General features: G+C 48.0%; 1 long non-coding RNA gene across 1 annotated transcript in view, besides 5 other annotated features; it reads right to left on the reverse strand.

Annotated features, from left to right (window-relative positions):
- SMIM41-AS1 (SMIM41 antisense RNA 1) overlaps positions 1-8,415 on the reverse strand; it is a 29,007-nt gene extending 20,592 nt beyond the window's left edge. Inside the window, exon 1 of the long non-coding RNA XR_007063312.1 lies at positions 8,090-8,415. This is a non-coding gene — a long non-coding RNA (SMIM41 antisense RNA 1). The remainder of the gene's footprint in view (positions 1-8,089) is intronic.
- Positions 6,904-7,113: an enhancer, noted in NCBI's record as "active region_6391". NCBI's record gives its function as "activates an Ori minimal core promoter by ATAC-STARR-seq in GM12878 lymphoblastoid cells {active_cell/tissue: GM12878}" and the evidence as "EXISTENCE:reporter gene assay evidence [ECO:0000049][PMID:35858748]".
- Positions 8,477-8,716: an enhancer, noted in NCBI's record as "active region_6392". NCBI's record gives its function as "activates an Ori minimal core promoter by ATAC-STARR-seq in GM12878 lymphoblastoid cells {active_cell/tissue: GM12878}" and the evidence as "EXISTENCE:reporter gene assay evidence [ECO:0000049][PMID:35858748]".
- Positions 9,037-9,176: an enhancer, noted in NCBI's record as "active region_6393". NCBI's record gives its function as "activates an Ori minimal core promoter by ATAC-STARR-seq in GM12878 lymphoblastoid cells {active_cell/tissue: GM12878}" and the evidence as "EXISTENCE:reporter gene assay evidence [ECO:0000049][PMID:35858748]".
- Positions 9,187-9,246: an enhancer, noted in NCBI's record as "active region_6394". NCBI's record gives its function as "activates an Ori minimal core promoter by ATAC-STARR-seq in GM12878 lymphoblastoid cells {active_cell/tissue: GM12878}" and the evidence as "EXISTENCE:reporter gene assay evidence [ECO:0000049][PMID:35858748]".
- Positions 9,277-9,326: an enhancer, noted in NCBI's record as "active region_6395". NCBI's record gives its function as "activates an Ori minimal core promoter by ATAC-STARR-seq in GM12878 lymphoblastoid cells {active_cell/tissue: GM12878}" and the evidence as "EXISTENCE:reporter gene assay evidence [ECO:0000049][PMID:35858748]".

A 15,728-nucleotide genomic window follows, 5' to 3' on the forward strand; every position in this document is an offset into this window, starting at 1 on the left:
TGGAATATGAGGAATACTGTCTCAGGGTATTAACCCCCTGTGACCTGAGGAGTAACATCCCACTGGAATATTACGAATAATATCACAGTGTGTACACCAACTGTGATATTAGGTGTCCTATTTATTTTTAGGATATTAGGATACACAAATTGTGTGTACACCCACTGTGATATTAAAAGTTATATCTCCCTAGGGTATTGCAAATAATATAATGGGTGTACACCCACTGTGATATTTGAAGTAATATCTCCCTAAGATATGACAAAAAATATCAAAGGGTGGACCCCGTCTGTGACATCAAAAGTAACATCTCTTGTGGATATTCCGAATAATATCACAGGGTGTACACAGCCTGTGACATTAGGAGTAGCATCCCCATAAGATATTCCGAGTAATATCACAGGTTGTACACCCCATGTGACATTAAGAGTAACATCTTCTTAGGATATTGTGAACAACATCACAGGGTGTACACCCCCTGTGACTTTAAAAGTAACATCCCCCTAGAATATTACAAAAAATATAATGGGTGTATACCCCGTGTGATATTGGGAGTAACATCTCCCTAGGATATTACGAAGAATATCACTGGGTGTACATCCTCTGTCATATTAGGAGTAACATCCTTCTAGGATATTATGAATAATATCACAAAGTGTACACACACTGTGATATTCGGAGAAATATCTCTCTAGGATATAAGGTATCATATCACAGAATGTACACACATGGTGTACACCCACTGTGATATTAGAAGCAATATCTCCCTATGATAGTATGAAAAATATCAAAGGGAGTACACTGTGATATTAGATGTAATGTTTACCATGGATATTACAAATAATATCACAGTGGGTGTACACACATAAGGTACACCCACTGTGGTATTATTTGTACTTTCTTAGAGAGATGTAACTCTCTAATATAACACAGAGAGCTATAACTCTGTAATATCTCTGAGATATTACAAATAATTTCACAGTGGGTGTAGTGTACACCCACTGTGAGATTTACAGGAATATCTCCCTATAAGACTACAAATATTATCGAAGGGTGTACACCCCCTGTGACCTTAGGAGTAACATCCTTCTGGATATCAGGAATAATATCATAAGGCATACACACCCTGTGACATTTTGTACACCCTTTGTGACATTAAAAATCACATCCCCCTAGTATATTATGAATAATATCAAAGGCGGTTGACGCACACGGTGTACACATCCTGTTACATTAGGCATAATATTTTTCTGTGATTTATGAATAATATCACAGAAGGTGTACATACATGGTGTACACTCCAGGTGACATTAGGAGCAACATCCCCCCAAGATATTAGAAATAATATTACCAGGGTTGCATACACATGGCGTACTCTCCCTGTGACATTGGCAGCAACATTCCCCTAGAATATTATGAATAACATCAGAGGGGGTGTACACACATAACGTATGCACCTTGTAAAACTAGGAGTAGCATCTCCCTAGGATGTTATGAATAATATCACAGAATGTGTACACACATGGCGTATACCCCATGTGATGTTAGGAGTTACATCCTTCTAGTATGTTAGGAATAATACCACAAAGGTGTTCCCACATGGTTAACAGCATATGGAATATTAGGATTAACATCCCTCGAGAATAGTACAAATAACATCACAAGGGCTGTGCGCACATGGTGTACATGCCCTGTGACATTAGGAGTACATTTCCCTGACAGATTACGAGTAATATCACAGAGTGTACACCTTCTGTGACATTTGGAGTAACATCCCCTAGGATAGTACGAAAAATATCACAGGGTGTACCTGGGGAGTAACATCTTTCTAGGATATTGTGAATAATATCACAAAACGCACAGCCCCTGTGACACGAGGAGTAACATCCACCTAGGATATTATGAATACTATCACAGGGAGTACACCCCTTGTGACAGTAGAAGCAACCTCCCCCAAGGATATAACGAACAAATACAGAGGATGTACACGTGTTGTGACATTAGCAGTAACATCCATTTAGGATATTACGAATATTACCACAGTGTGAACACCCCCTGTGATATTAGGAGTAACATCCCATTACAATATGGGGAACCATATCATACAGTGTACACCCCCTGTGACATTAGAGGTAACATTTCTTTAGGATATTATGAATAATATTACAAGGTGTACAGCCCCTGCAATATTAGGAGTAACATGTCCATAAAATATTATGAATAATATCACTGTTTGTACACCACGGGTGACATTAGGAGTAACAGCCCCCAAAACTATTATGAATAACTTCACAAGGTGTACACCCTCTGTGACATTAGGAGTAACATCTCTCTAAAATATTACGAATAATATCGCAAAATGTACAACCCCTGTGACATTAGAAGTAACATCGCCTGAGGATATAAGAAATAATAACAGATTGTGTACCTGCATTGTGACATCAGTAGTAGCATCGCTTTAGGGTATTACGAATGTTATCAGAGTGTGAACACCTTCTGTGACATTAGGAGTAACATCACCCTACAATATTGGGAATAATACCACACGGTGTACACTGCCTGTGACATTAGTGGTAACATTTCTTTAGGATATTAAGAATAATATGACAGGGTGTACAGCCCCTGTGATATTAGGAGTAACATATCCAAAAAAACTTTACAAATAATATCACTGTTTGTACACTACGTGTGACATTAGGAGTAACATCCCCTGAAACTATTATGAATGACTTCACAGATTGTACACCCTCTGTGATATTAGGAGTTAACATCTTCCTAGAATGTGAAGAATAACATCACAGGATGTACACCCTCGTGACATGGGGATCAACATCCCTCTAGGATATTATGAATAATATAACAAAGTGTACACAATTTGTATGGTAGGAGTAACATCCCCCTGGGATACTACGAATCATAGCACAGAAAGCACACCCCCTGTGACAATAGGAGTAACATCCCCTTAGGATAGTACAAATAATATCACAAGGTGTACACGCATTGTGACATTAGTAACAATATCCAGCTAGTATATTGTGAATAATATCACAGCGCATACACATCTGCGACATTAGGAGTAACATCCCCCTAGAATAATATGAATAATATCACAGGGTGTACACACCCTGTGACTTTAGGATAATCATCCCCCTGGATTACTACAAATAATTTCACAGGATGTTAAACCCCTGTGACAATAGGAATAATATACTTCTAGGATATGACGGATAATATCACAGTGTGTACACCCACTGTGACATTAAAAGTTATACCTCCTTCATATATTGTGAATAATATCACAGGGTATACACCACGTGTGCACACCCACTGTGATTTTTAAAGTAATATCTCCTTAGGATATTACGAATAATATCAAAGGTGTACACACCCTATGACATTAAGATAACATCCCTTTAGGATATTCCAAATAATATCCCAGGGTGTACACCCCAGGTGACATTATGAGTAACATCTTCCTAGGATATTACGAATAAGATCCCAGTGTTGACACCCCCTGTGATTTTAAAAGTAAAATCCCCCTAGAATATTACTAATAATTAACACAGGGTGTACACCCCTGTGATGTTAGGAGTAACATCCTCCCAGGATATTACGAATAACATCAGAAGGTGTACACACATGGTGACATTAGTAGTAATATCCCGCTAGTATATTGTGAATAATATCACAGGGTATACACACCTGTGACATTAGGAGTAACATCCCCCTGGAATATTCTGAATAATATCACAGGGCGTACATCTCCTGTGACTTCAGGAGTATCATCCCGCTAAAATATTACGAATAATGTCACAGGGGTTTAGCCTGTGTAATATCACAGGGTGTACACCCCCTGTGACATTAGGAGTAACATCTTTCTAGAACATCATGAGTAAAAGTTATACCTCCCTCATATATTGTGAATAATATCACAGGGTGTACACACATTGTGACTTCAGTGCTAATATCCCTCTCATATACTGTGAGTGTATGAGAGTATTACGAATAATATCACAGGGGGTACACACGCCTTTGGTTTAGGAGTAATATTCCCCTAGGATATTACAAATAATATCGCAGTGTGTACACTCACTGTGATATTAGGAGTCCCATTTTCCTAGGATATTATGAATAATATCACAGGAGGTGTTCACACATAATGTGTACACCATGTGTGTACACCCAATGTGATATTTGAAGTAATATGTCCCTAGGATCTTACGAATAATATCAAAAGGTGTACACCCCATGTGACATTAAAAGTAACATCCCTTTTGGATATTCTGAATGCTATCACAGGGTGTGATATTAGGAGTGTGATATTAGGAGTAACCTCTTCATAGGATAACCCATGTGGTATTAGGAGTAACCTCTTCCTAGGATATTATGAATAACATCACAGGGTGTACACCCCTGTGACTTTAAAAGTAACACCCGCCTAGAATATTACGAATAATATAACAGGGTGTACACCCCTGTGACATTAGGAGTAACATCTCCCTAGGATATTACGAATAATGATGTCACTGGGGGCACACCCTCTGTGATATTAGCAGCAACATCTTTCTAGGATATTACGAATGATATCACAGGGTGTACACTCACTGTGATACTAGAAGGAATATCTCCCTAGGATATAAGCTATCACATCACAGAGTGTACACACATGGTGTACACCCACTGTGTTATTAGAAGCAATATCTCCCTATGATATTATGAAAAATATCACAGGGTGTACCCTCTGTGGGATACTAGAAGTAACGTTTACCAATATCGCAGCAGGTGTACAACCCCCGTGATTTGGTTTTTAACATCCAGGGGGCACAGGATGATATTACTCCCCATGTTGCAGGGAGTGTACACACCCCTGTGAAACTCTTCCTAATATCCAGAGGGCGACAAGATGATATTACTCCCAATATCGCAGGGGGTGCACACATCCTTGTGAAACTCTTCCTAATATCCAGAGGGAGAGAGGATGATACTACTCCCAATATTGCAGGGGGTGTACACAGCCTGTGATACTCTTCCTAATATCCAGAGGGAGAGAGGATGATATTACTCCCAGTATCACAGGGGGTGTACACAACCCTGTGATATTGTTCGTAATATCCAGAGCGAAAGAGGATGATATGACTCTCAATATCGCAGAGGGTGTACACCCCTCCTCTAATATTGTTCTTAATACCCTGGGAGGGAGAGGATAAGATTACATTGAATACCACAGGGAATGTACACCCTCCCCCTCTGATACCCTTCCTAATATCCAGGGGAAGAGAGGATAATTTTACTCCCAATAACGCAGAGGCAGTACACCCCTGCTGTGATATTGTTCCTAATATCCAAGCGGGGAGAGGATGAGACCTCTCCCAATATCGCAGGGGTGTTCACATCCCCGGTTACATTTTTCCTAATATCTAGGGGAGAGACAATTAGATGACAGCAAATGTCGCAGGATCTGTACATCCCTTCCTGATATTGTTCCTAATATCCAGCGGGGAAGAGGATGATATCAAACATCAAAGGGGGTGTATGCCCCCCCTACGATATTGTTCTTAATATTCATGAGGGGAGACGATGATATTACTCCAAATATTGCAGGGGTTGTTCACACCCCCTGTGATATTGTTTCTAATATCCAGGGGGGAGAAAATCATATTACTTCCAGTATTGCTGGTGGTGTATACCCCACCTGAAATATTGCACCGAATATCCAAAGAGGGAGAGGATGGTATTAATACCAATATCGAAGTGTGTGTACACCCCTTGTGATATGGTTTTTAATATCCAGGGGACGGGAGGATGATATTAGTCCCAACATCACAGAGGGTGTACACTACCCCTGTGATATTGTCCCTAACTTCCAGAGGGGAGAGGATGGTATCACTCCCAATATCTCAGAAGTTGTACATCCCCCGTGACATTGTTCGTCATATCCAGGGAGGCACAGGATGACATTCCATTGAATTTTGTGACAGGCGTACACGCACACTGTGATATTGTTCCTAATATCCAAGAAGGGAGAGGATGATACTTCTCCCAATAAAGCAGTGGGTTTACATTACCCCTATGTTATTGTCTCTAATATCCGGGGGCGGGGGGAGGACAGAATAACATTCCCTCAAATTTGGCAGGTGGTTTGATGCCCCTTGTGGTATTGTTTTTAATATCCAGTGGGAAAGATAATAATACTATTTTTGATAGTCCGATTCATCCGCTCCACCTTTCCGGAACTCTGAGGCTGGTACGCGGCATGCCGTTTCCATGTGATGCCCGATACCTTCGCCGTCTTCTGTACCAAGTCAGCCACAAACGCAGGCCCGTTATCTGAGCTGATCCGTAAGGGCAGTCCAAATCTAGGAATCAGATCTCGAAGAAACACACGGGTTACTTCACGAGCTTTCTTAGTTCGTGTTGGATAAGCCTCCACCCACCCAGAGCAGGTACACCCAAGAACTAGTAAATACTTCTGACCTCCACACTTTGGCATCTCTGTGAAGTCTACCTGGAGATCTTCAAAGGGGGCTGCTCCATAAGCTTTTATGCCGGGCGGAACGGCTGGACCTTGCCTCGCATTGTGCTGTCAGCAGGTAACACACCGCTGTGTCACCGTTTTGGCAAGGGCTGACAAATGCGAGATGTAGAAATACCAGCCTAACAACTTTTCCAGTGACTCTGACCTAGATGGGTGGTTTCATGCACAGCCAGTACAACTGCAGCTCCTAGCAGCTGTGGCACAGCTACTCTCCCATCTGGTAACCGAATCCATCCTTCCTCCATCACTTGTCCTTCCCTCTACCTGGAGAAAGTCCTTTTCTTCTTTAGAATAAGTAGGTACAAGATCAGGTGCTTGAGGGAGCAGAGTGGCTGTGACTGATTGCCGGAAGGGGGCAGATGCTGCTTTTCGAGCCTCTGAGTCAGCGCGGGAATTCCCCAAACCCAGCAAGGTGGAAGCTCGCTGATGTCCTCTGCAATGCATACCTGCCACCTTGTGGGGTTTCCATACTGCTTCTAATAATTGCAAGATTTCTTGTTGATATTTTATGTCTTTTCCCCCAGAGTTCCATAGGCCGTTTTCTTTCTATAATGCTCCATGCACTTGAAGGGTTAAAAAGGCATACCGAGAATCAGTGTCAATGTTTACAGTCTTACCTTCATGGAGTTCTAAGGCCCAAATTAAAGCAATGGGTTCAGCTTTCTGGGCTGAAGTGCCCTGGGGCAACGATCTGGCTTCAACAACAGTGTACAGGGTTACCACTGCATACCCTGCACATCTCTCTCCTTGTAGGTTGATGAAGCTGCTCCCGTCCACGTGTAGTTCCCAGTCTACTGATGCCCAAGGCTGGTCCCGGAGGTCAGATCTACTAGAGTCAACTGAGTCAAACACTTCTACACAATCATGCCCGACAGGGCTCTCTGATACTGGGAGCAAGGTGGTGGGGTTTAGGGTGTTCCAAACTTCAATGGTTATACGGAGATTTTCACAGAGCAAACTTTGGTACTTGGTGAGTCTAGCATTCGTTAGCCAATGATGTCCTTTAGTATTCATTAAAGTCAACACAGCATGGGGAGCCTTTATGTTCAGGTTTTGCCCAAGAGTCAGCTTATTTGCTTCTTGTACTAGCAGGGCAGTTGCTGCCAAGGCCCTCAAACACAGGGGCCATCCTTTAGGAACCCCATCTAGTTGTTTAGAGAGGTAGGCCACTGGCCTCGGCCAGGGCCCCACAGTTTGGATGAAAACTCCAACTGCCATCTTTTCTCTCTCTGACACATACAATGTAAAAGGCTTTGTCAGATCGGGTAGCCCCAGGGCTGGGGCTGACATAAGTTTTTTCCTTTAACTCATGAAAGGCTTGCTGTTGTTGAGATCCCCATTCAAAAGGTTCCCGGTCCCCCACTTTGTGACCTCATACAAAGGCTTGGCTAATACTGCAAAGTTTGGGATCCACAGTCTACAAAACCCCACAGCTCCTAAGAATTCTCTCACTTGCCTTCTGCTCTTAGGCTCCAGTAGATTGCAAATGACCTGCTTTCTTTCTGATCCCAGGCTGCATTCCCCGTGTCGGATAGTAAATCCCAAGTAACGTACCTGCTGTCGACAGATCTCAGCTTTTTTCTTGGACACCTTATACCCACAGTCCTCCAGGCGCTGGAGTAGGGCATCCGTTCCCTTGGCGCACCTGACTGCCGTGGGGTGTCTCAGCAAAAGGTCATCAACGTACTGGAGCAACACGCAGCCTAGGTCTCTGGTGGGAAGCTTCTGGAGGTCTGTAGCCAACGCCTCCCTGAAGATGGTGGGGGAGCTCTGGAACCCTTGGGGAAGCCGGGTCCAAGTGTACTGAGTAGTGATACCTGACTCCGGATCTTCCCACTGAAAGGCAAACAGCTTCTGGCTCTCGGGAGCTAATCTGATACGAAAGAAAGCGTCTTTCAGGTCCAAGCAGGTGAACCAGCTGTCCTCAGCTGGCAGCAATCCCAACAACGTGTACGGGTTAGGTACTGTTGGATGTAAAGTCACTGTAGCTTGATTAACCAAGCGCAAATCCTGTACCGGCCTGTAGTCCTTGGTCCCTGGCTTGGGAACAGGCAGGAGGGGAGTGTATACTTGGCATGAAGTACAGCAAATGGAAAAACTTAAATTTTAAAAAAAGAAGAGGTGGGTAGGATGAGGCCAGGCGCAGTGCTTGTAATCCCAGCACTTCGGGAGATCAATGGTGTGAGCCAGTCTAAACCTCCATCTGTGACCTGAAGCTGGCCTATGGGCTGCCGATTTTTGACCTCTGATGACTGACAGGGCTGTCTTCAGTTTCAGTTCCCTCCTGAGCATCAGAGCCATACACAGAACAGCCTACCAGATGCTTTCACTGGGATGTCCTAAGACCTCTCAGTTTCCATGTGTTCAAAACCACACTTGTCATCTCCAAGCTGATTCATCGTGGGTTTCTGTTCCTAGTGATGATACATAAGCACCCCATTGCCCCGGCCAGACCCCCAGGAGACCTCCAAGGCCCTGAGCATTCCTTCCCCTCTTTCAGTGGGTCTCCATGATTTCTTGGCTCTACTCACTTGTGGCATGCCAGGTCTCACGAACGCAGGCCTCCATAACAACTGTTTCAGTACTGGCTGAGTGGTTAAGTTAAATATTAAATAGCCAGTGCCCTGACAATCCTAGAGTCCATGCCCTCCCCATTTCTTTGCCTCCCCATTTCAGGCCCCTACCCTCCCTCACCTGGACCATCTTCACAGCCTCCTAACTGGTGCAGCTATTTACATTTGAATTAATTAAAAGGGGCCAGGCTCAGTGGCTCATGCCTGTAATCCCAGCACTTTGGGAGGCTGAGGTGGTGGATCACCTGAGGTCAGGAGTTCGAAACTAGCCTGGCCAACAAAGTGAAACCCCCGTCTCTACTAAAGATACACAATTTAGCCGGGAGTGGTGTCGCGTGCCTGTAGTCCCAGCTACTTGGGAGGCTGAGGCAGGAGAACTGCTTGAACCCGGGAGGTGGAGGTTGCGGTGAGCCAAGATTGCACCACTGCACTCTAGCCTGGGTGACAAAGCAAGACTCCGTCTCAAAAAAAAAAAAAATTAATTGAAAGGAAATAATGTTTAAAAATTAGTTCCTGCGTCTTACTAGCCTCATTATTTCAAGGGCTCAATAGCCACACTTCCTTACTGCAGAAAGTCCTGTGGGAGCATGTTGCCCTGTGATCATGTTTACTTTGCCTAAGCCCGCCCTGGGGGTCATTTCCCTCCTGCTAGAGTCCAGTCTCCTTGGTCCAGGTTACCTCCCCGCCCTTGTCACCACCTCACCCTCCTGCTGCCCCTCCTCCTGTTTGTCCTCATGTGCACCCTCTCCAGCCACTTCCACCTGGCTGTCTCTACCTTCATGCTCTGGGGCCCTTGGCCCTGAAGCTTGAAGCGCCTCCCGACACTTTGTTTACCGGCTCACCCCAGGCTCAGTTCCAACAGGGCTCACTTGGGGTTTGGTAGCACCCCACCCTCCCCCATGCACCTGCCTGCATCACCCGCACACGCGGGATGCCCTTGAGGGCTCCCTGTAGCACTTCCCACCCTGCTGATAATCTGTCCCCCTCTCTGGGTGAGGTCCAGCTGCGCTTCCTTCCTGTCTGCACTCTCCAGGCCTAGCTCGGGAGGCGGCACTCAGGGGTGGGGCTGGGGTTGGGGAGCTGATGGGAGCCCGCATCTTAAGAAGTGACTCAGGGTTGGCCGCAGATTTTCATTTGCGAGGAAGCACCTCACTCACTTGGGGCTAAGGAGTGAAGGGGGCTTATCAGCCAGAGTAACTGGCCAGTGCAGGGCGGTTTGACTGCGCTCTGGGGTGTTGGGGTCTCCTGTTCCAGGCGGGCGTGGTGCAGCCGCCTGAGGCTGGCGCCCCCGTGTGGCCCTAAGAGTATAGCCGCTCCCAGGGCCTGGGCTACCTGGTGCAGGTCCCTGGCGGGAGGGAGAGACTTTGGGAAGCTCTCCCAGGAGGGCGAGGAAGCAACTAAGAAGCCTACATCAGGCCGGGCGCAGAGGCTCACGCCTGTAATCCCAGCACTTTGGAAGGCCGAGGAGGGCGGATCACGAGGTCAGGAGATCAAGACCACGGTGAAACCCCGTCTCTACTAAAAATACAAAAAAAAAAAAAAAAAAAAAAAAAAAAAAAAAAAAAAAAAAATTAGCCGGGTGCGGCGGCGGGCGCCTGTAGTCCCAGCTACTCGGGAGGCTGAGGCGGAAGAATGGCGTGAACCCGGGAGGCGGAGCTTGCAGTAGGCCGAGATGGCGCCACTGCACTCCAGCCTGGGCGACAGAGCGAGAACCTTGTATGCGCAACCTAGAGCCCATGGAGGAGTCAGTTCCCAACAAAGACGTGGATCGCTTGGGGAGGTGTGTACACCAGAAGTAAAATTAGGGATGTTACCAAGGAAAGGAGGAGTGGTTGTGTTACCAGAAAGGGGTCCCAATCCAGAACCCAAGAGAGGGTTCCTGGATCTTGCACAAAAAAGAATTCAAGGCGAATCCGTACAGTAAAGTGAGAGCAAGTTTATTGGGAAAGTAAAAAAATAAAAGAATGGCTATTCCATAGGCAGAGCAGCCCTGGGGGCTGCTGGTTGCCCATTTTTATGGTTATTTCTTGATTATGTGCCAAACAAAGGGTGGATTATTCATGCCTCCCCTTTTTAGACCATACAGAGTAACTTCCTGTCATTGCCATGGCATTTGTAAACTGTCATGGCGCTCGTGGGTGTACAGCAGTGAGGACAACCAGAGGTCACTCTTGTCACCATCTTGGTTTTGTGGGTTTTGGCTGGTTCCTTTACTGCAACCTGTTTTATAATCAAGGTCTTGAACAACTTGTATCTTGTGCTGATCTCCTATCTCATCCCGTGACTCAGAATGCCTTAACCATCTGGGAATGCAGCCCAGTTAGGTCTCAGCCTCATTTTACCCAGCCCCTATTCAAGATGGAGTTGCTGCGGTTCACACACCTGTGACAGTTGGCTAGGAGGAAAAGGAGGAGTGGCTGGTTGCTGGGGAGGATCTGTCTACTTTCCCACAGGTGGTTAGCCGGGAGGCAGCAGCAACCCTGCCCCCAGGTAGGAGTGGGTAAAAATCCGAGAGGCACCCCCATTCTTTCCCTCCTCCAGCCTCGGGGAGGAACAGTCTCTGCCCACAGCTACTTAATGGAGAAGTTTGGGGAGGTGGTGGCCCCCACTCGCCGTCCCCCCAGCTCCAGCCGCACTGGCCTCCATCTCCTCTGAGCACGCTGCCCTCGCCAGCCTCAGGGCCCTCTGAGGCTGGGCATGGCCTGGAACACTTGCCCCGAGGGTCCCCTGCCCATGCTCCCTTACCCGTGCTGTGGGTGGCTGGGGACCTGTCTCAGCTTAAACATATCCCATATAAGCTCTCAAACACTCTGAAAGGGTGACCAGGGCGTTGCAGAGCCCGCTAGGTTCTTCACAGGGAAGCTGTGAGTCCAGGAAGGCCAACCGCGCAGAGCCCTTCTCGCATTCTGGTTCCAGCAGGCCCTCGGGGACCAGGAAGCAATAAAGGATTCTGGACAGAGTAATGGGGACCTCCGGAGCAGCACAGGCGCCTTGCAAATGTGGAAATGCTCTTTTCTCAATCTCATTAGTCTGAACTTCTAGTCCCTGGGAGATGCTCTGATGTCCGCCGCAGCTGGAGCCACCTGGCAAGGAACCGGCGGGACCGTCGCGCCCTCTAGTGGGAGGTCCTGAGAAGGAACCAAATGCCAGAATTCGGTTCATTGTGGCCCCAGGACCCCCCACCCCTCTCTCCCTCCAAGACCCCACCCCTCTCTCCCTCCAAGCCCCCTCCCACGGTGCTGCTGAGGACCGGCAACAAGGAGTTGCCTCTTCTTCCCCTACCCTCCACTTGCTGAGGCCTGGGGTGCTATTTAGAACCGCAGGACTCAGATCTGACGCTGATGATGAAGGAAGGTGAAGGTGAAGGAGGCTGGGAGCAGGGTGGTTTCCTGACGGGCAGGGAGAGAAGGAGGGAGTTGCTGGGGGGTGGGGAGACCCCGAGAGCAGCTGGAGTGGGGATACTGTGGGTAGGGAGTCACTTCCTTGGGAAGGCCCGGGATCTTTAGGTACATTTTTGCTTGAAACTCAAGGGAAATTCCAAGTCAGTTGGGACTTTAACAGTTTTTTCTCAGAAGAGGAATAATTCCCTCTTGAAATTGCTCAAACATGTCAGTAAAGAAATGTGCATGCCTGGTAAGTGTGTCCTCGGGAGATTTAATGGATGCAGTGGCAAAGGGAGCCCGTGGCACTCATCTTCTTCCACTTTCCAGCAGAGAAGGTGTCAGCCTGCTGAGTAGCCAGGAGGTTTATGGGGCAATCTACGGCTCTAGAGGTGGCAAAACAGCAGTGGGAGAAATAAACCAGAGGACATATACAGTGGTGACAGAGACCAGGTCTTCTGATGGTGCCCAGAGAACAGAGAATTCTGCCAACCCCCCCCTGGGAAGAAAAGGAAGGTTCCAGCTTCCCAGGAGCTCCAGGAGCACAGATGACGGTTCCTTCATGTGTGCTGGGCACAGTGTCCCAGCCCTCAGTACCCATCCTTCCTCCTTCTACATGTCTTTATGGACTGCTGAGATGAGAAAGCCAAATGCACTTCCCAAACTCCCTGCAGCTAGAGCACACTGGGCGCCTCTAATAGACAGTGCTCGGCTGGATTTGGTGTGGTGAAGGCCATCTTCCTGCCGCTGCTTCTGCTGACCAGCAGGGTTGTAGAAAGTGGTTGTGGCCTTTGAACTCTGTGTTCTAGTGTCTGGTCACGAGTGTCCTGGGTGTTCTGGCAGTTATGGTGGCGGCAAAGGCAGTGCAGTGATTATTGATCCGCAGATGGCAGCATGGTGGTGGGTGGGTGTGTCCTCGAGCTCAACAGTCCCACTGGAAGCCTCCTGCCTATCCAGCTGCCACCCACCACCCACTCCTGTGATTTTACAAGCACCTGATTTCCTGTGCCCCACTCGCTCCCACTTTTTTTTTTTTTTTTTTTTTTTTTTACCTAGAATGGTTTGTTTCTGCACTGCTGAGGCAGTAGGTACACAGCAAAAGCTGGCTTGGATGGATAAAACAGGATGTTGAATCTACTTCTAAATAGATCTTTGGGACCATTGGCCGTAAAAGGGAGGGCCACAGTGGACTGGCGGTAGGAAGTAGGAGGAACCCCAGAGGTGCAGGGCTGGATGGAGTCCTGTGTGATAGAAGCCAGTGTGAGGCAGGAGGGGAAAGTGTAGTTGGGGCATAAAGCAGAAGCTCCTGGGAGGAGCAGCCTCTGGCTAAATGGTGACATTGGCTGAGTTGACCTTCAGGACCTTAGACTCTCCTTCTCTCCTCACTCTTCCCAGGATCCTGTCAGGATGGACTTTTGGTAAACACACAATGGCCCAGGTGTTCCATCCTCCCTCAGCCAAAGCTGCTCCTTGCAGAGGCCTGGCGAGCCCACTGACATGGAGGCAGAAGGGGCGTCAGGGCCCAGTGCCGACTCAAGGGTGGTGGTGGGAGAGGGGCTGGGAGGAGCTGCTTTAGAATAAAAGTCCCCTCCAGATCAAAGCCTTTGATCTCTTGCTGGGAATTCCAAGCATCAGCTGTGGGAAGGGGAGTTATTTTTTGATGTTAGGACACGCTGAAATCATAGACCTGAGCTGGCTAAGGAGAGACCTCAAGAGGGAGTCGCTTATGGTGTTATGGAGCATGGAAGTTTAAAACAAGCTCCCGCATTCTTTGACACTCCTCCCACGGAAGTGGGGTCTATGTCCCCACCCCTTGAAACTGGGCAGGCTTGTGACTGCTGCCACCAATAGAGCACAGGGGATGCAAGGCCAAGAGACTTCTTCCGTTTTTTTTTTTTTTTTTTTGAGACAGAGTCTTGCTCTGTCGCCCAGGCTGGAGTGCAGTGGTGCGATCTCGGCTCACTGCAAGCTCTACCTCCTGGGTTCACGCCATCCTCCTGCCTCAGCCTCCTGAGTAGCTGGGACTACAGGTGCCCGCCGCCATGCCTGGCTAATTTTTTGTATTTTTAGTAGAAACGGGGTTCTATCGTGTTAGCCAGGATGGTCTGGATCTCCTGACATTGTGATCTGCCTGCCTCGGCCTCCCAAAGTGTTGGGATTACAGGCATGAGCTACCGTGCTCGGCCCTTTCTTCCATTTTTTTGAGACAGAGTCTCACTCTGTCACCCAGGCTGGCATGCAGTGGCGCGATCTCGGTTCAGTGCAACCTCTGCCTCCCAGGTTCAAGCGATTCTCCTGCCTCAGCCACCCAAGTAGCTGGGGCTGCAGGCGCCTGCCACCACACCTGGCTAATTTTTGTATTTTTAGTAGAGATGGGGTTTTGCCATGTTGGCCAGGCTGGTCTTGAACTCCTGGCTTCAAGTGGTCTGCCTACCTCAGACTCCCAAAGTGCTTGGATTACAGGCATGAGCCACAGCGCCCAAAGGCCACATGACTTCTAAGTGCAGGTCGTTAAAGGCCAGGCAGCTTTGGCCTGGGTCTCTCGAAATGCTGTTCTTCAGGTGTCCCTCTCTGACACTCCCTCTGAGAACCTCACTGCCAAGCTATGAGAAGCCATGGGGAGGCTCCCTGGAGGTGCTTCAGTTGACAGTCCTAGCTGAGCCGTGGTCCCGTCCAGATATGGGAGTGAAGAAGCTGGAGCAGTGAGTCCAACCCAGCCGTCCCAGTCACCCCCAGTCATTCCAGTGCTCCCAGCTGAGGCTCCAGGCTTCACCCCGTCACACCCTACACCCAATTCCAAACCCCTGACCTCCCCAGACTCTGCAACATAATACAGTGATGGCTGTTGTAGTCCATGATGTTGGAGGTGGTTCAGAACACAGCAGCACCTCAGTGCAATGTGGGGTCACTGTCCCTGCAAGAGCCCTGCTGTGGGCTGGTTGCTGACTCCAACATCAGTGGGTTGTGGTGGGGCCCGGCCCCTGTTAGAGTCACATTCCCAGATGCACCTTCTGAGATCTGCCGAATGTGTGGCTCACTTCCCCTCCACTGTATGTGCCACCTTCACGTGGCAGCCGGGTCACAAGTGGACCCCATCACAAGGCTAAGTGTCTTCACCCGGCTCTGCAGAAATCCCACGACTGCAGTGTTTTGTGATGTTTAGGAAGACCTCACTGAGAGGTGCGGAAGGCAGCCTCCCGCCATTGTTCTCACCGGTCTTCCCTTCCCCCCTTCCCCCTC

This window comes from Homo sapiens, chromosome 12, assembly GCF_000001405.40.
Source record: "Homo sapiens chromosome 12, GRCh38.p14 Primary Assembly".
Lineage (NCBI taxonomy): Eukaryota > Metazoa > Chordata > Mammalia > Primates > Hominidae > Homo > Homo sapiens.